This window comes from Homo sapiens, chromosome 6, assembly GCF_000001405.40.
Source record: "Homo sapiens chromosome 6, GRCh38.p14 Primary Assembly".
NCBI classification, from domain to species: Eukaryota; Metazoa; Chordata; class Mammalia; order Primates; family Hominidae; genus Homo; species Homo sapiens.
In genome coordinates, this window is record NC_000006.12 from 35,651,123 (window position 1) to 35,677,137 (window position 26,015).

The 26,015-nt window shown below is 38.9% G+C and overlaps 1 protein-coding gene and 2 non-coding genes across 6 annotated transcripts in view, besides 3 other annotated features; 1 reads left to right on the forward strand and 2 right to left on the reverse strand.

Annotated features, from left to right (window-relative positions):
• The window catches only part of FKBP5 (FKBP prolyl isomerase 5), a 154,994-nt gene that overhangs the window by 77,533 nt on the left and 51,446 nt on the right, over nucleotides 1-26,015 (reverse strand). The window lies entirely within an intron of this gene.
• On the forward strand, nucleotides 696-823 carry LOC124900228 (small nucleolar RNA SNORA40). Its single transcript, XR_007059955.1, has one exon. It is a non-coding gene; the product is annotated as a small nucleolar RNA SNORA40 (small nucleolar RNA).
• Nucleotides 11,574-12,075: an enhancer, noted in NCBI's record as "H3K27ac hESC enhancer chr6:35630473-35630974 (GRCh37/hg19 assembly coordinates)". NCBI's record gives its function as "activates a minimal SCP1, AML or CMV promoter by ChIP-STARR-seq in primed H9 embryonic stem cells {active_cell/tissue: H9 hESC(primed)}" and the evidence as "EXISTENCE:reporter gene assay evidence [ECO:0000049][PMID:30033119]".
• Nucleotides 12,076-12,575: an enhancer, noted in NCBI's record as "H3K27ac hESC enhancer chr6:35630975-35631474 (GRCh37/hg19 assembly coordinates)". NCBI's record gives its function as "activates a minimal SCP1, AML or CMV promoter by ChIP-STARR-seq in primed H9 embryonic stem cells {active_cell/tissue: H9 hESC(primed)}" and the evidence as "EXISTENCE:reporter gene assay evidence [ECO:0000049][PMID:30033119]".
• On the reverse strand, nucleotides 13,595-13,667 carry MIR5690 (microRNA 5690). The gene has a single exon (NR_049873.1). It is a non-coding gene; the product is annotated as a microRNA 5690 (primary transcript).
• Nucleotides 20,984-21,183: a silencer, noted in NCBI's record as "fragment chr6:35639883-35640082 (GRCh37/hg19 assembly coordinates)". NCBI's record gives its function as "represses an EF-1alpha promoter that drives an FKBP-Casp9 reporter gene in an ReSE screen in HepG2 liver carcinoma cells and phorbol 12-myristate 13-acetate-treated (for megakaryocytic differentiation) K562 erythroleukemia cells {active_cell/tissue: HepG2 | K562(+PMA)}" and the evidence as "EXISTENCE:reporter gene assay evidence [ECO:0000049][PMID:32094911]".

Below are 26,015 nucleotides of genomic sequence, written 5' to 3' on the forward strand. Positions count from 1 at the left end.
TATATGTGTTTGTATATTTGCTTATATATAGAAGAAGTTTGGAAAGATAACTTACCAAACTGCTCAAACAGTGTTACCTCTGGAGAATGAGATTTGGGAAGATAAGAAGGAATTTTCACTTCTTAGATTTTATTTTTATATTATTTAAATAGTTTAACATTAAACATGTATTACTTTCATGATCTTTTTAAACTTAGGGAAAAAAGATGAAACATTTCATGGTTCCACTCATCAGGACTTTTTATTCTTTCTCTTCAATTTAATTCGAACATTTCAGATTGCTTTTTATGGAGAGCAAGAGAACTCTGGCTGGGGTATGTTGAGCAAGGGGTGCTTGTGCGATGTCCAGAAGGTTATCAGAGATAAGGCCTGAGCTCAGGAGAGAAGTGTGGGTGACAGTTATATGTTGGGGAGTCATCAGATTCTACACAATAATTAAGATAAAAAGTACTGTTGCAGTTATATACTACTAAGCAAATAAAACCGTGGCTTTCAAACTTTTAATATCCAAGTCTTACTTCTGATTAGGTTGAGCATTCCTAATTGGAAAAATCCGAAATCCAAGATGCTCCAAACTCTGAAACTTTTTGAATTCTAACATGATGCCACAAGTGAAAAACTCCACACCTAATACTTGTTTTCTAATGATTCAAGGTACACAAATTTTATTTAATGCACAAAATTATTAAAAATACTGTATACTACACTGTTTTTGTTTAACTTGTGGACAAAGACTTATGGTTAGGTGCAAAAAATAAATCCTCTTTTGCAACCCAGAACTCATTGTTCAGTATGAGTTTTGATACATATAAGAAGGTGTTGCAGGAAGTCAGGGACCCCAAACGGAGGAACCGGCTGAAGCCATGACAGAAGAACGTGGATTATGAAGATTTTATGGACATTTATTAGTTCCCCAAATTAATATTTTTGTAATTTCTTATGCCTGTCTTTACTGCACTCTCTAAACATAAATTGTAAAGATTTCATGGACACTTATCACTTCCCCAATCAATACCCTTGTGATTTCCTATGCCTGTCTTTACTTTAATCTCTTAATCCTGTCAGCCGAGAAGGATGTGTATCGTCTCAGGACCCTGTAATAATTGCGTTAAGTACACAAATTGTACAGCATGTGTGTTTGAGCAATATGAAATGTGGGCACCCTGAAAAAAGAACAGGATAACAGCAATTGTTCAGGGAATAAGAGAGATAACCTTAAACTCTGACCGCCGGTGAGCCGGGCAGAACAGAGCCATATTTCTCTTCTTTCAAAAGCAAATGGGAGAAATATTACTGAATTCCTTTTCTCAGCATGGAAAGTCCCTGAGAAAGAGAATGCGCACCTAGGGGTAGGTCTCTGAACTGGCCCCCCCGGGGCATACCTGTCTCTTATGGTCGAGATTGCAGAGGTGAAATAAACTCCAGTCTCCCATAGCGCTCCCAGGCTTATTAGGAAGAGGAAATTCCCGCCTAATAAACTTTGGTCAGACTAGTTGATCTCAAAACCCTGTCTCCTGATAAGATGTTATCAATGACAATGGTGCCCGAAACTTTATTAGCAATTTTAATTTCGCCTCTGTCCTGTGGTCCTGTGATCTCGCCCTGCCTCCACTTGCTTTGTGATATTCTATTACCCTGTTAAGTACTTGACGTCTGTCACCCACAACTATTCGCACACTCCCTCCCCTTTTGAAAATCCCTAATAAAAACTTGCTGGTTTTTGTGGCTTGTGGGGCATCACGGATCCTACCAATGTGTGATGTCTCCCCCGGACGCCCAGCTTTAAAATTTCTCTCTTTTGTACTCTGTCCTTTTATTTCTCAAGCCAGCTGACGCTTAGGAAAATAGAAAAGAACCTACGTGATTATCGGGGCAGGTCCCCCGATAAGAAGGGATATTATGATACCTGAGACAGTTAACTGATGGGAGTATTGATAGACATAAAGGTTGGTTCCAGGCCAGGCACAGTGGCTCAAGCCTGCAATCCCCACACCGAGGCGGGAGTATTGCTTGAAACCAGGAGTTCAAGACCAGCCTGGGCAAGAAAGTAACAAACACCTCATCTTCACAAAAATTTAAAAATTAGCTGGGTATTGGGGCATGTGCCTGTAGCTGCAGCTACTCAGGAAGGGGAGGCTGAGGCAAAAGGATTGAGCTCAGGAGTTGGAGGCTGCACTGAGCTTTGATGGCACCACTGTACTCCAGCCTGGGTAACAAAGACCCTGTCTCTTAATAAAAAAAGATGGATTCTAGGACTGTAGAATAGATAGTTAAACAGCATGGGATATGAGGGAAGTCCTCAGCAGTATTAATTTTGCATTCCAATTTCATATTGACGATACATATGATGGCTTTTTGTTTTAATGGAGTTATCTTGAGAACATGATATCTGGAGTTAAAGGTACTGGCATATTCCACACATCTGTACTATTCTTGAGTGTCATCGCTTAGGAATGAATATGATTTGAATTCATTCATGTTAAGAGAGGGTGTCAAATTGAGAACCAGGCAGATCCACCACCTACAGTAAAAAGGACCCTAAAGTACACTGGTTGAAGAAATTAGATCCCAAAGATTCTTGGTGAATTTTGAAGTCTTCATCAGTATATCCATATTAAAAGGAGATGACAGAAGCCAAAATAAAAGAATTATGGGCTGACAGGACAAGTGGATTAAAATAAGCATCAGTTTCATTAAAAATGGCTAACTTGAAGATAAATCTTTTGACTCCAGCTCTTTAGAGGATCTAAAGTGGCCCTGATGGATAGTGGAAGAAATCACAACATGGAATTCCATGAATAAAAATTTATTGACTTAAAAAAAATAATAAAAATAAAAAATATTGTATAATATTACCTTCAGGCTGTGTGTATAAGTACATGTGAACATAAATAAATTTCATGTTTACATCTGGGTTCCATCCCCAAGATACTATATCTCATGTATACATGTATGTGCATATGGTCAATTGACAATGTCACAATGGGCTAATACATGTGATACAAACAGTGTGGTTTATCATAGTTATTTGCAGCAAACAACCACAGTTCCTTATTGTTTATAGATTTTGGTGGGTACAATCATTTTAGAACACTGGATTATAATTATGCAAATATTATGCATTACATGCCAAAATATCTTTTTTCCCTTAGAGAAATTTGCAAATATTCCAAAATCTGAAAAACTCCAAGATCCAAAACACTTCTTGTCCCAAGCATTTTGGATAAATGATACTTGACAACCTGCAGTACTTTTGGCAGCATAATTGAATAATTAAAACTCAAACCATCACTAAAGAAGTCAGCAAGACTATGATGGATTTTAAAAGATCTACAGCACTTAGAAAGTGTCTGAAGTTAGTGTACTATTCCCCTCATTGTCTTTTAATACCATACCATACCATTGTTCAAATAAAACTACTTACTGCTGTTTTACCCCCTGAAGCAACCTGAATCCTTCTCTGGCACTTTCTTTCTTGACTTTATGCATTGCCTTTTTTGTTTGTTTGTTTTGCTTTTTGAGATGGAGTCTTGATCTTGTCGCCCAGGCTAGAGTGCAATGGCACGATCTCAGATCACAGCAACCTCCACTTCCCGGGTTCAAGCGATTCTCCTGCCTCAGCCTCCTGAGTAGCTGGGATTACAGGCATGCGCCACCACGCCTGGCTAATTTTATGCATTGCCTCTTATCTCTCATAAGCTGTATCCAGCTCTGTACCAAGACAAGAGACCCCTTAGCTCAAAGGTACATCTGATAGGCATCACTGTTAAAGTTATGGCAGCAGCTGGGTCCAGTGCCAAGTGCCTGAACCTCCAGCAACTTTGGAGTTTGAGGTGGGAGGGTCGCTTGAGCCCAGGAATTAAGTCTAGCCTGAGTAACATAGTGAAACCCTGACTCTTCAAAAAAAAGTAGTTGTGGGCCAGGCTCGGTGGCTCACAACTGTAATCCCAGCACTTTGGGAGGCTGACGTGGGCAGATCAGTTGAGGCCAGGAGTTCAAGACCAGCCTGGCCAACATAGTGAGACCCCATGTCTAAAAAGAAACAGAAATTTAAAATAATAATAATAAATTAATTGAAAGCTGAAGGATAAGTAGGAGCCATTCACTTATTTATTCAACAACTATCTACTGAATACCTACTATGTGCCAGGCACTATTGTAGTGGAGATACAGCATTAAACAACAGAAAACAATTTCTGTCTCCATGGAACTTACATTTTGATAAGGGTGAAGACAGTAGGAATGAGCCCCTATTATTTGTCTAGGTTTTCTATAGAAAGTCAAATTTCTACCTGTGCCACAGTGGTAGAGTAACTTGAGGTGATTCACTAGGGCCAAAGAGTTTGGTTCTAAGTGTCCTGATGATTTCTAGGAACGAGCCAACAAGGTAACATATGAGAAAAGTCTATAAACACTATACATGTAGAGAATGTGTCCTATTCATTTTGTACTCCACCACCTAGTATAAGTAAATGGCATAGGAGCAGTACTCAATAAATGATGAGATGATCACGATTTTCAAAATCACAGTCCATGTAAAGATGGCAAAATATCAGACACCATAAAGAATCAGTGCTGAAATACCATTACAAGCTAAGTATATTCCTTCTCTAAATTTAATCTGAAAAATCTAATCTGGAAAATTACACTGTACCTGAGCGTTTAACTATAAAAGTAAAAATAAAATTCTGTTCTAATCAGGAGTACTAATTAAGAACACCTAAGCATAATTAAAATCTATCTCTGAAGTACATTATAAGAGTGTCTGTACATACACAACACATAGCAGATTTACCTTATTAATTAGATTAGTTTGGTTTAAATATGGACAGTCAAGAACAAAGGACCACACCTAGCTGCCAATATTTGAGTATACATTAACTAGCAACTGGAGGAAGAGATGTTTCAGACTTGAGACGCAGACAGAAAAACCCAAAAGTTTTATGTAATACTGTATCCTCTTACAGTACTAGCTCATTAAAACACTATTACATAAATTGTTTCCCAAAGTCCATTATATGCCTAAGAGAAAAACTGTACAAGAATAGCATTTGAGTCTGTGTAGAAAGAATAAAAAATCTCGGCCATCTTAAATCCCCATCTTAAATTCCATAAAAATATGGAAGGAAGAAAAGGCCAATAAACTCAGATCTACTATTAACTAGCTGTGGAATCTCTGGCCCTCACTCAGTTTTTCCATCTATACTTTTCGGGGGTTAGACTAGAATCATATCTAAGGTTTATTCCAACTCTGTTATTTTGTATTTATTCATTAAAAAGTAATTTATAAATATATGTTTTACTTTTGGGGAAAATGAGGTTTGCTATGTGGAAGGAAAAACAATTTCCAAGGGATAGAAAGTTATCTTAACAATACAGAGTTCACTTTCCATTGCAACCCTCTGGCAAAATATGAATTCTGAGCTTTACCCACTTACATGTGGTATTAGTTTTCTACAGATGCCATAAGAAATTACCACAAACAGGCTGGGCAAAGTGGCTCATGCCTGTAATCCCAGCACTTTGGGAGGCCGAGGCAGGTGGATCACTTGAGGTCAGGAGTTCGAGATTTGAGACCAGCCTGGCCAACACAGTGAAAACCCATCTCTACTAAAAATACAAAATTTAGCAGGGCATGGTGGCGCGTGCCTGTAATCCCAGCCACTCAGGAGGCTGAGGCAGGAGAATTGCTTGAACCCGGGAGGTGGAGGTTGCAGTGAGATGAGATCGTGCCACTGCACTCCAGCCTGGGGAAACAGCAAGACTCCGTCTCAAAAAAAAAAAAAAGAAAAAAGAAAAAGAAAAAAAGCCGGGCACGGTGGCTCACGGCTGTAATCCTAGCACTTTGGGAGGCTGAGGTGGGTGGATCACAAGGTCAGGAGATCGAGACCATCCTGTCTAACACGGTGAAACCCTGTCTCTACTAAAAATACAAAAAAAAAACTAGCCGGGAGTGGTGGCGGGCGCCTGTAGTCCCAGCTACTCGGGAGGCTGAGGCAGAAGAATGGCGTGAACCCGGGAGGCGGAGCTTGCAGCGAGCTGAGATCGCGCCACTGCACTCCAGCCTGGGTGACAAAGTGAGACTCCGTCTCAAGTAAAAAAAAGAAAAAAGAAAAAATTAACACAAACTTAGTGGCTGAAATAATACCAATTTATCATCTTACAGTTCTGGAGATCACAAGTCCAGAATGGGTCTCACTGGGCTAAAATCAAGGTGTTGGCAGGGCTGCATTCCTTCTGGAGGCTCCGGGAGAGCACTCATCTCCTGGCTTTTTCCACATTCTAGAGGCTGCCCACATTTCTTGGCTGGTGGCCCCCTTCCTCCATCTTCAGCCGGGAATACTGCATTTCTTTGATCATTCTTGTGTAGTCATCTCTCTCTCTGACTATAGTTGGGAAAGTTTTCCACTTTTAAGAACCCACGTGATTAAGTTGAGCCCACCTGGATAACCCAGGATAATCTCCCCATTTCAAAGCTTTTAACCTTGTTCACATCTGCAAAGTCCTTTCTGCCCTATAAGGTAACATATTTACAAGTTCCATTTTTGAGGATCCATTATTCTCTCTACCACCGATACCTAATCATCCAATCAAGATCCTAAGAATTTCTCTCAAGCTTGGAATTCCATTGACTTCCTCCATTTTGTACTTAGGGGGTCTCACAACATTCTTTCCTTTTCCTTTTCTTTATTTATCATCCAGTTGGATAACAATGTTCTAATCTAAAATAAAATTTAACATTTTATATCATTCTGAAAATACATTCAGAAATTTAGAAAACATAAAGTAAAACATCTGGTTTCTCAATTTTGTAATAAAATTATAAGGCCAGGCACAGTGGCTCACACCTGTAATCCCAGCACTTTGGGAGGCTGAGGCAGGCAGATCACGAGGTCAGGAGTTTGAGACCAGCCTGGCCAACATGGTGAAACCCTGTTTCTACTAAAAAAAAAAAAAAAAAATACAAAAATTGGCCAGGCGCAGTGGCTCATGCCTGTAATCCCAGCACTTTGGGAGGCCGAGGTGGGTGGATCACGAGGTTAGGAGATCCAGACCATCCTGGCTAACACGGTGAAACCCCATCTCTACTAAAAATCCAAAAATTAACCGGGCGTGGTGGCGGGCGCCTGTAGTCCCAGCTACTCAGGAGGCTGAGACAGGAGAATGGCGTGAACCCCAGGAGGCAGAGCTTGCAGTGAGCCGAGTTTGCGCCACTGCACTCCAGCCTGGGCGACTCCGTCTTTTTTTGAGACTCCGTCAAAAAAAAAAAAAAAGAACCTCCAGAACAATGCTGAACACAATTGGGAATAGCAGATATCTTGACTTGTTCTAAATATTATATAGGGAAAGCATTCAGTCTTTCAGCATTAACTATGATTTCAGCTATTGGTTTTTCACAGATACCCTTTATCATATTGAGAAGTTCCCTTATTTTCCTAGTTTGCTGAGTTTTCATCAGCAAGGCATGTTAAACTTTGTTAAATGTTTTTTCTGCATCTATTGAGCTGATCATATGCTTTCTCTTGCTAATGTGGTACATGACATTGGTTTTCAAATGTTAAACCAACCTTGGATACCTGGAATAAACCCTATTTGGTCACTGTATTTTATCATTTTTATATGTTGTTGGATTCAATTTACTAAAATTTTGTTAAAAAATATTGCTGGCTGGGTGTGGTGGCTTACACTTGTAATCCCAGCATTTTGGGAGGCTAAGGCGGGTGGATTGCTTGAGCCCAGGAGTTCGAGACCAATCTGGGCAACATGGCAAAACCCCATCTCTACCAAAAAATACAAAAATTAGCTGAGCATGGTGGCACACACCTGTAGTCCCAGCTACTCAGAGGCTGAGGTGGGAAGACGGCTTGAGCCCAGGAGGTGGAGGTTGCAGTGAGCCATGATCACACCATCACACAACCACACTCCAGCCTGGGCAACAGGGCGAGACCCTGGTTCAGGAAGAAATAAGTAAATAAATAATAAAAATCATAGAGTGACTTAAGAAATATTCCATCTTTATCAATTTTATGGAGGAGTTTGTGTAAAATTGGTATTATGACTTCCTAAAATGTTTGGTAGAATCAGGAATACCATGTAGGCCTAGAGTTTTCTTTGTGGGAATTCAATTTTTTTTTTTTTTTCGAGACTGAGTTTCGCTCCTGTTGCCTAGGCTGGAGTGCTGTGGCACCATCTTGGCTCACTGCAACCTCTGCCTCCTGGGTTCAAGCGATTCTCCTGTCTCAGCCTCTGGAGTAGCTGAGATTACAGGCATGCGCCACCACACTCAGTTAATTTTGTATTTTTAGTAGAGATGGGGTTTCTCCATGTTGGTCAGGCCGGTCTCAAAGTCCCGACCTCAGGTGATCCGCCTACCTCAGCCTCCCAAAGTGCTGGGATTATAGGCGTGAGCCACCAAGCCTGGCCGAATTCAATTTCTTTAATAGATATAGGACTTTTCAGGTTGTTTCTTCTTCAGTGAGCTTAGGTATTTTGTATCTTTCAAGGAATTTGCACATTTCATCTAGCTGTCTAATGTATTACTATAAAGTAATTCATATTATTCTCTCATCCTTTTAATAATTATAGAATCTGAGCTTTGTTAGCAATTCTTTCATTCTTGATATTGGTAAGTTGTCTTCTCTCTCTGATTCCTGATTAGTCAGGTTAGAGTTTTATCAATTTCATTGTTCTCAAAGAACCAGCTTTTGATTTCACTGACTTTCTCTACTAGTTTTCTTTTTTTCTATTCCACTAATTTTGGCTTTTATCCTTAACTCTTTTCCTCTGTTTACTTTGGGTTTAATTTTCCCTTCTTTTTCTAATTTCTTAAGGTGAAAGCTGAGGACACTGATTTGTGATTTTACTTCTTACCCAATATAGACATTTAGTGCTATGAATTTTCCCCTAAACATTTGCATTAACCACAACCCACATATTCTGATATGATTTTCATTAAGTACAAAATACTTTCTAAATTCATCTTTGATATTCTTCTTTGACCTGTGGGCTTCTTAGGAATACATTAGTTTCTAAATATTTAATAATTTTCCAAGTATCTTTCTGTTATTGACTTTTAATTTAACTCCCTTTTGGTCAGCATACATACTTTATGATCTAAGTCACTTTAAATGCATTGATGCTATTTTTTTTTTTTTTTTTTTTTGAGACGGAGTTTTGCTCTTGTTGCCCAGGCTGGAGTGCAATGACGCAATCTCAGCTCACCGCAACCCGTGCCTCCCAGGTTCAAGCGATTCTCCTGCCTCAGCCTCCTGAGTAGCTGGGATTATAGGCATGCACCACCACGCCCGGCTGATTTTGTATTTTTAGTAGAGACAGGGTTTCTCCATGTTGGTCAGGCTGGTCTCAAACTCCCGAGCTCAGGTGATCCTCCCGCCTCGGCCTCCCAAAGTGCTGGGATTACAGGCATGAGCTACCGCGCCTGGCCAACACTGACACTATTTTATGAACAAAAATATGATCTATCTTATTAAATGTCCTGTGCTGTGTGCAACTGAAAAGAATGTGTATTCTGCTTGTATTGGGTAGAATACTATGTAAATGTCAATTAGGTTAGTTGACAATGTAGTTCACATCTTCTAAATTATTTTTTGTCTACTTGTTCTATCAATTATTGAGAGACAGGTGAGGTATTGAAATCTCCAACTATAATTTTAGATCTACTTATCCTTTCAAGTTCTATCAGTTTCTGATTCATGTATCTTGAAGCTCTGTTATTAGGTGCATATTTAGGACTATTAATTTCACTTGAAGGCAGCCAATCATGAAAGGCCATACATTATATGATCCCATTTATACGAAAGGTTCAGAATAGGCAAATTCATAGAGACAGAAAGGAGACTGGTGGTTGCTTAGGGTTAGGGGAAACAGGAGGAAATGGGGAGTGGGAGATTTCTTTTTAGGGTTATAAATGTTCCAAAGTGGGACAGCAGTAATAGTTGCACAAATCTGGAAATATGCTGGAAACCACTGAATTATATACTTTATTTTATTTTTGATTTACCTTATTTTATGTATTTATTTATTTATAGAGATATGGGGTCTCGCTACATTGAGCAGGCTGGTCTTGAACTCCTGGTCTCAAGTGATCCTCTCATCTCAGCCTCCCAATGTACTGGGATTACAGGCATGAGCCACCACACCCGGCCTGAATTGTACACTTTAAAGGGGAGAATATTATGGTATGTGAATTTTATCTCAATTAAGCTGCTAAAAAATTATTCTACTCAATGGATGACCATAATTCATGAATGATATACATTCCTTCCAACTTATTAATACTATATAACACTGCTATGAACATTTTTGTGCCTAAGCTTTTATCATATGTAATTGAAAGTATGGCTTCTTGGCTGGGCGCGGTGACTCGTGCCTGATCCCAGCACTTTGGGAGGCTGAGGTGGGCAGATCACCTGTGGTCACGAGTTCAAGACTAGCCTGGTCAACATGGTGAAACCCCGTCTCCACTAAAAATACAAAAATTAGCCGGGTGTGGTGGCAAGTGCCTGTAATCCCAGCTACTCAGGAGGCTAAGGCAGGAGAATCACTTGAACCCAGAAGGCAGTTGCAGTGAGCAGAGATCGAGCCACTGCACACTACAGCCTGGGTGACAAGAGCAAAACTCCGTCTCAAAAAAAAAAAAAAAAAGAGTATGGCTTCTTGAACACAGTCTGCTTGAGTGAGAATCTTAGCTTGACAACATAGCAACTGTATGATCTTGTGCAAGTCACTTACCTTCTTTGTGCCACAGTTTCCCTATCTAAAACACAAGGTTATCAGTTATCAACATCTCTTGGGATTGTGAGGACTAAAGTAATGCACATAAAGGGCTTTGTACAGTGCCTGTTACATGGTATACTTTCAACATTAGTAGTAGTAGATGTTGTAATTATCATTTAGTTTTTGTTACTTTCTCTTTTTTATTTATTTATTTTTTTAATAGAGACAAGGTCTTGCTATGTTGCCCAGGCTGATCTCAAATTCTTGGGCTCAAGTGATCTTCCTGCCTCAGTCTTCCAAGTTGCTGAGATTTACATGCAAAAGCCACTGTGGCTGGCTAGTTTGTATTATTTTCTTAAGAAGATTTTCAGAAGTGGTATGACCTTGTCAAAAACCATGAGCATTTATTTACGTGTCTTTTTTTTTTTTTTTTGAGACAGAGTTTTGCTCTGTTGCTCAGGCTGGAGTACAGTGGCACAGTCATGGCTCACTACAGCCTCAACCTGCCAGGCTCAAATAGTCCTCCCACCTCAGCCTTCTGAGTAGCTGGGATTAGAGACATGCACAACCACACCCAGCTAATTTTTTAATTTTTTTTTTTTTTTGTAGAGACAAGGTCGCACTATGTTGCCCAGGCTGTTCTTGAACTCCTGGGCTCAAGCGATCCTGCCACCTCAGCCTCCCAAAGTGCTGGGATTACAGATGTGAGCCATCACGCCTGGCTGTGTCCAAATATATTTCAACAAACTGCATCTCAAACTGGGTATACTAATATTTGGTGCCACTAGTAAGTATATATAAATATATAAGAGAACAAGGATTACCTAGCTATCATAATTACAGTAAATTTGTTTTGTTAATAGGAACTCATTTTAATTGTGCATTCATTTTTGCTGCTTTTGGCCCTTAGTTGTTTGAAAGCCAATAGTTTTCTAATTATACTATGAATCCTACACACCATGAATACCTACTGAATATGAAATGTCTGTAAGACCCTGTTCTAGGAGCTACAAAGAAAACTGAAATAAGTTAGCCCAAGGATTTTTTGTGAAGGCAAAGAAACATTTTAATTCCAAATAATTATTATTAGGTAGAAGAGAGCTACAAAGTGTTTCTGAGGGTCCCAAGGAGGCAGAAGATGGCAGTGTCTGAGCTGGATAGGCATACTTTCAACCGGCAAGGGTGTGGCAAGAGTAAAATCAAGGCTGGTAAAAGAACACAGCACGTTTCAAGCCTAAGCAGCTTAAGTGCAAAGTGGCTCCGGGTGGAAATGATGAGAGAGCAAGAGCACAAAGAGGACCCTCTAAAACAGAGCCAGTGACCATGTGAGCTGAGGGGGAGGGCTTCTCACAGGGCAAACGGTACAGAAAGACGCGAAGACACAAAGCATCATGACCCATCCAGGGAGCTGCATGTGATCCCACTTGGCTAAAGTGAAGGGTACATGTGGGAAAGAAGCAGATGATGCTAAATAAACAGGCAGAGGCCTGACTGTGAAGGACCTTGTGTGCCAAAGTAAAGTACGTGAACATTATTCCAAAGGCAACAGGGAACTGAGGCATTTTTAAGAAAAGAAATGACAAGCAGACTAGCTTTAAGAAAAAATTACTCTGGCACTCCAATGGTTTCCCATCTCACACAGGATAAAATCCAAAGTCCTTCTTATGCTTAATACCCTATACATGCTGATCACTCGCTATCTCTGAAATTATTTCTCCTTTTCCCTCACTCACTGCTCTGGCTACAGTGGCCTTCTTGCTGCCCCCTCCCATGTGCCCTTTCCTCAGTGCCTTTGCACTTGCTATCCCCACTACCTGGAACTCTTCCCTGGTTAGCTGCATAGCTCACTCCCTCACTCGCTTCAGGTCTGCCTTCATGTTCAAACCTTTTCTTATCAGAGTTGTTTTACTGTTACCGGAAATAAAAGAGCAAAAATCGACTATAATCAGCCCCACTATGTTTTCCTCCAGTGTATTTATAGTATTTGTATACTGCCTGTCTCTCCTTACTAGAATGTAAGCTCTATGATGGATCTCTTCAATAACCGTGTGACATTGAGATTGTTACTACTGACACGTCCAGACAGCAAATCTAATGGACGAGCTAAGTAATCTATCCAAGGATATACTTCTAGTGAACAGTGGAACCAGGGAGACTGACTCTGGAGCCTGCACTCTAACTATTTTACATACTGACTCCCCAGAAGTGTCACAGGTCTCTGACTCTGATTCTAAAGCATTTCCTGTGAACAGGCTCCATGCTGACAAGCACTAAGCCAGCAAAAATTCTGAATTCACAGTATGTTCTTCTAAAAAGATGGTGATTCTTACAATTTGTATTAGCCAAGTTTTAAAAGCCAGGGAATATTTTTTAAATAATCAATTAAAATGTACAAAGTATCTGGACTTTTACCTATCCAAAAATTAGCTGTTTTTTTTTTAGACCCACAGATATTCAAACAAGATGAAAGATTTTATGAACTAAAAGGAACACAGCATATGACACCAAAAACTACCCAAGACCCTTTTTCCGTTACCATATTCAATTTCAGGAATAAAACTCAACATCTTTAAAATAATCATCAAATTTTCTGACATGCCACTCCCGGAGGAAGAACAATGTGGTATCTACAGGAAAACATCCAGCAAATACAGTATCTCATGCACAGTAAAAGAATGAAAGGTAGGCTGCAGTAACATTTGTCTTTATTCTTTCCCCACTCCTGAAATTATTAAATTTCCTCTCTGCCTGGGCATTCTTTCATCCCATCTCCCATTACTATCAGTATCCTCTCCTTAAAATGCAGTTGTCAATCAACAGTTGTCCCCATCAACCACTTCATACCAGAACTCATCCACTCTTAATTTCAACTATTACCTCTATTAGTATAACTCCCAAATCCTAATAGAGGTAGTAGCTGAAATTAAAAGTGGCATAATTTCTCCCTCTTTCCTTCTCCAATCTTTGATTTCTCTCACTTCAGGACCCTTTTATTTCCTTATGTTTTTAAGGAAAATTAACTTTTTCAAAATTGGTCCCTTCTCCATTTATTTCATAATCTGTATTATCTGGCCATTCTCCTAGGTTTGCAACTTCAATATAATTTTTCTCCACTTAATCAATAGGACCGCCAACTATTCATTGTGTTTCTTATCTTACTTTCGACTCCATAGCTATCATCATATTTTGAGTTTTCTTCCTCTCCTTTGTGAATTACTACAGTTCTCCAGAGGACCTGCCTACCTCCAGACGGCTCACTCACTCCCACTCATTCTGTATACACTGCTAGTGAAGCCTTTCTGACACAGCACACCCACCACATTACTCTCTAATTCATGGACCTTAAATAGTGTTCCAACACAACAAATCTAAACTTCTCAAACCAGCACTCAGGGTCTTCTGCTCCTTTAGAATGTCACTAGTAAATGCTCCTCTTTTTTTTTTTTTTTAGAGGAGTCTCACTCTGTCACCAAGCTGGAGTGCAGTGGCGCGATCTCGGCTCACTGCAACCTCCGCCTCCCAGGTTCAAGCAATTCTCCTGCCTCAGCCTCCCGAGTAGCTGGGACTACAGGCGCGTGCCACCACACCCAGCTAATTTTTTTTGTATTTTTAGTAGAGATAGGGTTTCACTATGTTTGCCAGAATGGTCTCAATCTCTTGACTTCATGATCCGCCCGCCTCGGCCTCCCAAAGTGCTGGGATTATAGGCATGAGCCACCGTGCCTGGCCATAAATGTTTATCTTAAACATTCTAAAAAGATAAAAACCTAGAAACCCAACATTCTGATCTTCTTCATCTAAATCTGTACAATACACACTATGGGTCTGTAGAGGTCATAGTACACTATCTTCCACCTAACTTCAACAGATCACATCAGGCAATGGAACTATGGACAGTCCCCAACTTATGGTTTGGGTTACGAGTTTCAACTTTATGATGGTGAGAAGGCGATACACATTCAGTAGAAACAGTACTCCAAGCACCCATACAACTATTCTGCTTTTTCACTTTCAGTTTTCAATAAATTATGTGAGACATTCAACACATTATAAAATAGGCATTCTATTAGATGGTTTTGCCCAACTGTAGGCTAATTTAAGTGTTCTGAGCATGTGTAAGGTAGGCTATGATGTTCAGTAAGTTAGGTATATTAAATGCATTTTCAACTTGTGATATTTTCTATTTACAATGAGTTTATCAGGAGGTAAAACCACCATAAGCCAAGGAACATATATATTACCTAATGTATCATCTTCTGAACATCTCAAGCTACTATGACAAGGATTCATTTTCAGAAGTTTAATCCTTCTAATCCACAAAATTAAAGTGTGTACAGTTATCAGAAAAATAACACTTCATATCTTTAGTAAGAGTACAAATTTGTTGAATATTTTTAAGGGCGAATTTCCCAATATCTACTGAAAGTTTATGTGCAAATATCCTTTAGCCCAGCAATATCACTTCCAGGAAATAACCTGTAGATATTCTCACAGAAGCAAGCAAAAATACATGCAGAAACACTACTATTATAGTTAAAAAAAAAAAAAAAAAAAAAAAAAGGAGGGGAGTGGATTTCCTTCATAGACTTCTATTATACATCTCTACAATGGAAAATTATATAATTAAAAATAAAGACACAGTTACAAACGAATTGATATGGAAAGTTTAAGAATGCCATGAAGGGGAAAAAAAGCTATTTATAGAACAGAATATAATTATTCTATTTGTGTAAAGAAAATGTATATGAAGGCTGGGCACGGTGGCTCACGCCTGTAATCCCAGAACTTTGGGAAGCTGAGGCAGGCGGATCACGAGTTCAAGAGATCAAGACCATCCTGGCCAACACAGTGAAACCCCGTCTCTACTAAAAATACAAAAATTAGCCGGGCATGGTGGCAGGCGCCTATAATCCCAGCTACTCGGGAGACTGAGGCAGGAGAATCCCTTGAACTCGGGAGGTTGCAGTAAGCCGAGATTGCACCACTGCACTCCAGCCTGGGCGACAGAGCGAGACTCTCTCAAAAAAAAGAAAAGAAAGAAAATGTATATGAAGAGAAAATACCTAGAAAAAATATAGTAAGCCATTAATAGTAGCTAATTCTGGAGAATGGGGCTCAGGGGAAGAAACAATAAATTTTCACTTGTTTTGTGTGTGTGTCTGTGTGTGTGTGTGTGTGTGTGTGTGTGTGTGTGTGTGTATACATAGATGCATGCCTTTTAAAAAAATCAGTTTATTAAATTTACATTAATAAAGAAAACTGAGTATAGCAAAGGCTCTTAACCTTAGATGAATATAATTGATCTTGATTATCCACAGTACAAGAAATATGAGCTACTAAAAGTGCTTAATGAGAAACTCATCCATTCATTCAACTATTTATGGAACACTTACTAGGCGTCAAGCATTGTGCCTGATACTGACATAATGGTGAACAAGAAAGACCTAGTCCCTGCTCCCAAGGAACTTACAGAAAGGCCTTTTGGACTCCATTTTTCCTGTCTCCCCTGTAAGAACCACTCTGACTTACAAGTGTGTGCTCTCATTATGCCTATTACGCTTATGGCTCCCATAAGACAAATATTAATTAATAGAATCATTATATCAACCAAAAAGAATCCTTAAAATGATTAACCCGTTTCCTCCATAATTAATATTTAAAGTTATTAGAAGCATAATCTGTGGAAAGAACAATTCAACAAGCACTCTTTCAAATAAACAAATAAGAAGTAACCTAGTTGGCTGGGTGCAGTGGCTCATGCCTATAATCCCAACACTTTGGGAGGCCGAGGCAGGTGGATCACCTGAGGTCAAGAGTTTGAGATCAGCCTGGCCAACATGGTGAAACCCCATCTCTATTAAAAATACAAAAATCAGCCAGGCGTGGTGGCGGGTGCCTGTAATCCCAGCTACTCAGGAGGCTGAGGCAGAAGAATTCTCTATTAAAGATACAAAAATCAACTAGGCATGGTGGCGGGCGCCTGTAATCCCAGCTGCTCAGGAGGCTGAGGCAGAAGAATCACTTGAACTCAGGAAGCAGATGTTGCAGTGAGCTGCGATCCCGCCACTGCACTCCAGCCTGGGTGACAGAGTGAGACTCTTTCGAAAAGAAAAAAAGTAACCTAAATGTTAAATGAAGTTTAAGGGAAATTAGCTAAGAACATTCAAAAAGGGAAAAAAATTATAGGAAATTTTTATTTTATTTTCTTCACTAATTTAATTTTTCTACAACGAGTGTGTAACACAATAAGAAAGTAAAAGTTATTATTCAAAAAGAATCCTCTATGGCAACAGCAGATCAGCCACTGCATAAAATCCAACTCTTCTTCCCACTATACCCAGCCCTTTACGGTCTGGCCTTGCTGAGACTCCTTGTGTGAGCCCAGAGCCCACTCCCCTTTATGCTGGAAACAGCATCCCGGGACTTTCCTCTGGGAAGCCCTGCTTCTCCCTCTTAGGCTAGGCCCAGTGTCCATTTTTTGCCAGTCAGTGCTTTCTATCCCTTTGGCTACCACAACAGTTCAGGGGTAAACACACAACCCTAACAGACCAAAACCAAAATCAATCCTGAAAAGAGTCTAATTTTAATGAAACTATTAAATTGATTATAATTAAGTGACATGTAATACAGCTAAAAATCCTTTTAAAAACTTTGTAATAAATGGAATTTTCACTTAATGTGGCCCCTAAATGTTCTGTGTGACTACAATTTCATATCATAAAACTGGAATGGAATAGTTATAAGTCACCTCTTTTGTTGTTTTTTTTCTTCTTTTTTTTGTATTATTATACTTTAAGTTTTAGGGTACATGTGTTTTGTTTTGTTTGTTATTATTATACTTTAAGTTTTAGGGTACATGTGAAGTCACCTCTTTTGTTAAAATGCACAACAATAAAACAACAAAATATAATGACACAATTTCCATTTCTAAGAAACTATCAGAACTTCATGATTGTCTTAAAGAATTAGAATGTTAAATTCCTATCAATCACATCCTGTTAAAATACTAAGTATAGAAACAGTAAGAAAATGCAGCTCAACCAAGCATATACATTAGTCATATTTCCTCTGATAATTTTTTTTTATAACTTCAAAACTAAAGACTCCTGTAGGAAGTATTTTATAAGGAACCTAAAATGAAACAATATCTAAGAAAACACTTGAGATGCAATTAACTTTTCAAAAAAAGTTTGATCAATTAATCATTTTCTTCTCAACTCTAAGAAAGCTATAGACTGTATTAATAAATCACAGGAAAACAAAGTTAAATTCAGTGTATGAAAACAGAAGTTAACCATTAGAACTCCCTAAGACTGAAATAGGCTATCCTGTAAAACAGGGACCTCCTCTTCCTTGGAACTAAGCTAAAACTAAAACTCTGGAATTCTCTGGAAATAAGACATCCTTGAGGAATTCAATTGATGTGCCAGCTGTTTTGTTTCTTGAAAGAATATAGCTGAATACATACAATAATCTGTTGCCTTTTTTTCTAGCATTGCACAATATTCCTGGCCTACAATGCACATACTGTATCTATTATCATATTTAAGCATCTGATATGAATCCTTAATATTCATCTCTAATTAAATACATACATATTTCAGTTTTCAAAAGAGCATGGTTTTCAGTAAAGTATCATATATATGTTTTCCACAGTCTAAATACAATACATTTCCTGAACTTTTAGCTTTCAGTTTCCTGTTCGTCAGTGGCTACAGCTCTAGAGGCAATACATAAACACACCCCAGCCATGGTATTTCCACTTTTGACAACAGTGGACATGAACTTAATATGACCAATATAATTACAATGCATAGAATGGTACCTGATGGCTAAGACAGCAACAGAAGAAATTCAATAATTTTCAAAATTAGAAATATAAATTATGTTCCATATGTAAGAATTCACATAACAAACCTCTTATAACTTATGACTCAGAAAAAGTTTCTCTCTTCTGAAAAATTGAAAAAGCTTTCTTTACTGGACAATAACTATAAAAGTCACCCTGTTTCCTTTTTTCTCTTGCTTGCCAGGAAGCTCAGAGCTAAATTTAATGTTCAAACACAGAAACTATCTTGCCTCAGATTACTGGTATAAAGATTTCTTCCCATTCCCCCATTCTGCTCATTATTTCTCAAGTGATTTATGCTCATTTTCTGTCTTTGTTTTTAATGGTCTTTGCCTGTTTTGCTTTAATCACAAACTATCAAATCCTTTTCAATGAATAGGTTAATATAAATTATAAATTAAAGAAAACTTAATGACCTTAGTTTGTATCTTCACATCACTGCATAACTTGTTAATGCAATTTATAAAAAATGAAGGTTCTAAAAGGTATCTTTGCTGTTTTAGAGTTAATTATTTCACATGAATCATGATTCACGATTCACTTTTAGAAAAGCCAATGACAATTTTTTTAAATAAAAGAATGATAGAATGAAACAAGGATCAAAACTTAAAATTACTAAATTAGAGACACAGAATTAGGAGGATTCAAAATTTTTTAATGTTTTAAATTTACTAACAAAATTGGTCTGGCAAAGCTAGATAACTATCATAAAAAATTAACTTACATAAAGTGTATTAAATTCTCAGTGGGCACGGTGGCTCATGCCTGTGATCCTAACACTTTGGGAGGCTGAGGCGGGTGGATCACTTGAGGTTAGAAGTTCGCCCTGGCCAATATGGTGAAACCCCGACTCTACTAAAAATACAAAAAAAAATTAGCCGGGTGTGGTGGTGGGCACCTGTAATCCCAGCTACTCGGGAGGCTGAGGCACAAGAATCGCTTGAACCTGGGAGGCGGAGGTTGCAGTGAGAAAAGATCGTGCCACTGCACTCCAGCCTGGGCAACAAAGCAAGACTCCATCTCAAAAAAAAAAAAGAAAGAAAAGAAAAGAAAAGAAAAACTCATATACTGCTATCTGTGTCATTAGCTGCAGAGTAGACAACAGGTATAAAAATATTGAAATAGCCTAGGAATCTAAGAAAAAGGGAAAAAACTCAGTCACATATTTAAAAAATATAAATGCACACATACACATGAAAATATCTCATATATGGTAATACCAAAGTTTGTTAAATGGAGGTAAAAGCAAAGTATTAATGAAATTAATAAGCCAGGTGCAGTGGCTCATGCCTGTAATCCCAGCACTTTCTGAGGCCAAAGTGAGACGATCCCTTGAACCCAGGAGTTTGAGACCAGCCTGGGCAAAACGGTAAAACCAAACCCTGTCTCCACAAAAAATAGAAAAGTTAGTTGGGCATGGTGGTGCACACCTGTAGTCCCACCTACTTGGGTGGCTGAGGTGGAAGGATTGCTTGAGCCAGGGAGGTAGAAGTTGCAGTTAGCTGAGATCGCACCACTGCACTCCAGCCTGGGTAAGAGAGTGCAATCCTGTCTCAAAAAAAAAAAAAAATAATAAATAAATAAACAAAAACAAGTTAAAAGAAACTACAATCCAAACTGACAAATCTAGCCAAAATCTTAAAAAATATATCATGAATTACAGAAAATCTAGAATATAGTCATATTAAAAATGGAAAAGTGAAATGAACACATTTTATAAAAGAAAAGACAGCCTATAAAGCGCCTAACATTATATTAAAAGGTCCCCACTTTTAGGAGACACAAATAAAATGAAAATAAAGGGAAGGAACAAGGTAGCCAAATAGTATCTATAAAATGAAAGTGAAAAAGTCAATTATCCCTTTCTCTCTCAAGGTATCAGAATTGCAGGGTAAATACCTAAAGAAGTTAAATTACAAAAAACTTCATATTCTAAGAATGAAGTTAACAGCAAAATTTATTACTATGTAAATTTAAAAGGCTAGCAACCACCCATAAATACAGTTTTAACATATTTTTTTCAAACAGCAATAAAATAATTCAACATAAGAAAACATTTAAAAAATAGAAACAGAAGTTCCAACACAATATATGAAGGGGCTAAGAGAAACCTACACACACAAACTCAGCCCTCAAAAGAACCCTAAAATCTAATTTAGAAGAATTTTTTTTTTTTTTGAGACGGAGTCTCACTCTGTCGTCTAGGCTGGAGTGCAGTGGCGCGATCTCGGCTCACTGCAAGCTCCGCCTCCCGGGTTCACACCATTTTCCTGCCTCAGCCTCCCCAGCATCTGGGACTACAGGCTTCCGCCACCACGCCCAGCTAATTTTTTGTATTTTTAGTAGAGACTGGGTTTCATTGTGTTAGCCAGGATGGTCTCGATCTCCTGACCTCATGATCCGCCCACCTCGGCCTCCCAAAGTGCTGGGATTACAGGCGTGAGCGACCGTGACCGGCCACTATCTTCTCGCTTAATAGCATAATTAGAAGATAAAATTTGTTATAAAGGGTAATCATCCAAATACAAAACAAGTTACAGATCAGAAAAGGGGGGAAAAAATCCCCTTTTACCTTCAGAAAAATGAAGACAAGAAAAAGAAACCAAACCATGAGAAATATAAATAATCTGATACAAAGTATTGAGGACATGGAAAAAAGTTTTGTATAGGCATTTGTGAATTATACAATTCAACTTCAGTGTTTAAAAATAATAAAGAAAAATTAATATTTCAGTAAAAATCAATCTAGTCCAGAAGCTTGCTTTTTTTTTTTTTTAAAGAAATAATGTGGCAGATTGCAGAGGTCTACGACATCTTTATGCATCCCAGGCCACTTTTTACCTCTCTAATCATGGGAAAGAATACACAACATGAAAAGCTTACCATTTGCAAAATGATTTCTTGATTATGCTTATGGCGACTAAAAAGTATTTGTGGCTGGAGGCGGTGGCTCACGCCTGTAATCCCAGCATTTTCGGAGGCTGAGGCGGGCGGATCACAAGGTCAGGAGATTGAGACCATTCTGGCTAACACGGTGAAAACTTGTCTCTACTAAAAAAAAAAATACAAAAAATTAGCTGGCGTAGTGGCAGGCGCCTGTAGCCCAAGCTAGTCGGGGGGCTGAGGCAGGAGAATGGCGTGAACCTGAGAGGCGGAGCTTGCAGTGAGCCGAGATCGCGCCACTGCACTCCAGCCTGGGCAACAGAGAGAGACTCCGTCTCAAAAAAAAAAAAGAAAAAAAGTACTTGTACATTATGCAAATGTTCAAAATGCAGAGAGGGCAAATGTATTTAAACATACGTTTCCAGGGAAGAAAAGGAAGTGATGTGATAGTGAATTGGTGATTGGGAATTAACATTATATAAGAGAAAAAATTACCAGCCCTGTAAAAAGGGAAGAGAATATTTATTGAGCAACTGGTATGGCCAGACGCTAAGCTTAGGGCTTTATACCTTCTATCACATTACATCTAGGTAGAAAAACAATGTAGAAGAAAATGCTTGAATACATAACATACCATTATGTGTTGTGTGTGGCATATATTAAAATCTAAGAGATTGGCTGGGTGCCGTGGCTCCTGCCTGTAATCCCAGCACTTTGGGAGGCCAGGGCAGGCAGATCACTTGAGGCCAGGAGTTCAAGACCAGCCTAGGCAACAGAGTGAGACCCCATCTCTACAGAAAATTTAAAAATTAGCCAGGTGCGGTGGTGTGCACCTTTAGTCCCAACTACTTGGGAGGCTGAGGTGGGAAGAACGCTTGAGCCTGGGAAGGAGCTTTGAGAGTGCCACTGCACTCCAGCCTGGGCAACAGAGCAAGACCCTGTCTCAAAAGAAAAAAAAAGAAGAAAACAGAAACAAAAAGTCCATTCTTTTGAGAATACTATTTATGTTTATAATACTATTATATTTATAATTTACAACTCTAAAAATGAAAGCAAGAAACCCTCTTCTCAAAGCAGATTTTGGAGACTTGGTTTTAAGTATTAAGAATAGTGAGGCTCATCTGAGAAATACAATCATGGGCTTATTAATAAGGTTGAATTATTATCATATAGTTCCTGGTAATAAAACTATTTTTTGTCTTGGTGCTTAATAGTAATAACAGAAAATTTATTTATTGTACTACTATAATTCCCACCCAGATAGCTGAGAATCACACTGAGATGAGAGTATAAAACAGCCTTCATCTAGTCCTGAAAGGGGCAGCCCTGCTCATTCGGTAGCTGTGGATCTTGAGCATATGCCTCTACTTCCTCTGAACCTCAATTTCCTCATCTGTAAAACAAGATGGCTGGACTAGAGGATGGTTCCCTTCCTTCTTCCCTTTCTCCCTCTCTCTGGTCCTTTCCACCTTATGGCTTGATGATTTAGGATCTAGACTGGGGTTTTGAGGACAGAGAGGAAACACTAGCAGAAACCCACTAAACTTTGGAGAAAAGGAGTGAGGATTATGTAAACAACTAGAATACAGAGAAAAAGAGAAAGCCAAAAACATTTACAAAAATAAATGAGCAAATAAAGAAGCATAATGGCCCAGTTTAGAAGATTATGAGCTTTACTATCAAAATTAGCTTGAATAGAAGTTTCAGTTATTTTGAAATCAAGGAAGGTAGAAATGCTGGAGATACAGACTTAGAAATTATCTGTAACACATAAGAGTTGACAAGTAACCCAAGAGTCTTTCCAAGTTCCCTCAGTACATATGGAAAAGATGTCACACTTCTTGGCTTACCTATTCATAACTGTGCCCCGACATATTCATCCACTAATTTCCAACAAGCTATCCCTCTAACCAATTTGGCTTCATCACTTCAAACAAACCTAGAGTATCTCCCCTTCATTATCACTCAATGTTCTATCTGAAATGCATTCTCCCTTCTCTCAACTTATTAATAATAATTTATCAAGCTCTAACAATGTTTGCGGAACCATTCTAAGTGTTTTACATGTATTAACTCATTTAATTCTCTCAACAATCCTAGGCGAGAGATCACGTCACTTGCTTAAGATGACACAGTAGCAGAACTAGGATTCAAACACAAGCAGTCTGGCTCCAAGGAGACTGTCAACTTGCTAATTAGTCCTTCAAAGCTGAGATCAAGTTCTGTCACCTTCCTGAAGTTCTCATTTGCTTAGCCTCTTGAGCCCTTAAGTAAACCACTCCTTTGCCACTTACCATTGGATCTAGGTTGTTAATTATCTTTTGTGCATATGTTCTGTCCTTTCTGAGAGCAGGATCATGTCCTGTTCATTTTGTTAACCCTACTTAGAACCTAGCAGAACTTAATAAATATCTGGAACACAGCAGTACTTATTAATGAAACTACACTAGTATTTAATATTTAGTGAAGACATACTAGGCGCTGAGCTAAGTGCTTTACATGTATTGTCTCATTTAATCCTCACAACAACCTTGAGGTAAGTGCTCATTTTGTCCCTCTCGCATGTTATAGTTGAGGAAACTGAGACTTACAGAAAATAAGTATCTTATCCCATACCACAAAGTGGTAGTGATAAGATTCACTGAAGTCTTACACGAGTCTATACCATACTCTAGGCTGGGTGTGGTGGCTCACGCCTGTAATCCCGGATTCTACGGATTCTACAGATATAGCATTTTGGGAGGCCGAGGCGGGTGGATCACAAAGTCAGGAGTTTGAGACCAGCCTGACCAACATGGTGAAACCCCGTCTCTACTAAAAATGCAAACATTAGCTGGGCGTGGTGGCACATGCCTGTAATCCCAGCTACTCAGGAGGCTGAGGCAAGAGAATCGCTTGAACCTGGGAGACAGAGGTTGCAGTGAGCCGAGATCACGCCACTGCACTCCAGCCTGGGTGACAGAGAAACACTCCGTCTCAAAAAAACAAGTCTATACCATACTCTTAATCCCCAGCCTACCACAAAACACCTTGAGGGAAGAAAGCATCAATCCTAACAATTTAATTCAACTTGCACTTAGCAGCAGCAATACTTCAGCATTACTGAATGCTGTGGATTCAGAATTAGAAGTTCAGCTCTGCCTTCAAGAAACTCTCACAGTCCATTATGACTTCAGGATCAAACTTTTATCAGTGCAAAAGTCATCATCATCGAAACTTAGGATTTTAACTTATATTTTAGGGGCAAAATCAAAACAATCCTTGGAATTCTCTTCTACACCATTCCTTCTACCCTCAGGCTTGCCCACCCCCTCTAACCCTAGGACTCCTCTCTCCAGTTGCTGTATAACAGAGTAGAAGGGTCCTATTAATCCTAACAACTATTGGGACATCTGAATTTAAATCAGTAATAGCTTAGACTCAAGGGCCTATTTGATAAATTCCACAGTCATAATGAAATATGGGTAATGAAGGACAGCTGGACAAAAGCAGCAGCAAGAAGAGAAAAAGAGGGATTTGACGTCATAGTGTAAAGCAAATAGAAAAAGAAAAGGCAAGAAAAGCAGGAGAGTGGATACAAATATTAATAGAAGGTGAAAGTAAGGGTCCAGGATAAATTCAGTGGAGAAACATAAATAAATCTAAATCCACTTTAGAAACGCTGACACCTTTAATTATTTCTTCTCCTAACCGCTATCGGAAACAGAAAAGTATGTATGAGAAACAGCCCCTGAAAAATCATTAACTAGGAACAGCATATAAATCAGTTTTTTTTCCTGAGAAACCACTCATCTTAGAATTTCAGAACTGCAGAGGGACCTTAAGATACTACCTAAAATCCAACCCACTCATTTTATAAATAAAGGCTCGGAATGGTTAAGTAATTTTAACACGCCCAAGATCATACAGCAACTTAGTGGCAACACTCCTGAATCTCATTCCAGTGTCTAGTCCTACCATACCAGGCTTCCTAGGAATGGTTTATTTTTCTCTTTTTTCCACCCTTAATAATCATTAAATTATTTTCTGCATAAGCATTTCCAAATCCCTATATTATCTGTAGTTCCATCAGAGAAAATAATCAGATGTTCTCAATTATCTAGGGCAATATAGTATTTCATTCCCTTATCCCCAAAGTCAGTAATTACTTAAACTGGGTCTTGGTTTGTACCAGGAGGAAATTTTAACATTTCCCAAAAGGGCAGAAATAAGAAAGAAATCTCCATAAACTGACCAAAAACAAGTAAAAACTACCACCCATTTGGAAAGGAATCAGGCCCAAGACCCCTGGAAGCTAGACAACTGCTAGTGGGAAGAACAAAGGAGATCACTTATAATCTCATTTCTATTTTATCTCCTCCCAACTAAGCTCAAGCTCCTAGCTTTCTGACAAACCAATTCCAGAAGCCTGCAAAGAGAAGGCAGAGTAATGAAATAGAGTGTCACGTCATTTTCAGCGAAGGTGGATTTTTGTTTTGTTTTGTTGTGTTGTTTTGTTTTAAGACGTGGTCTCCCTCTGTCGCCCAGGCTGGAGTGCAGTGGCGCA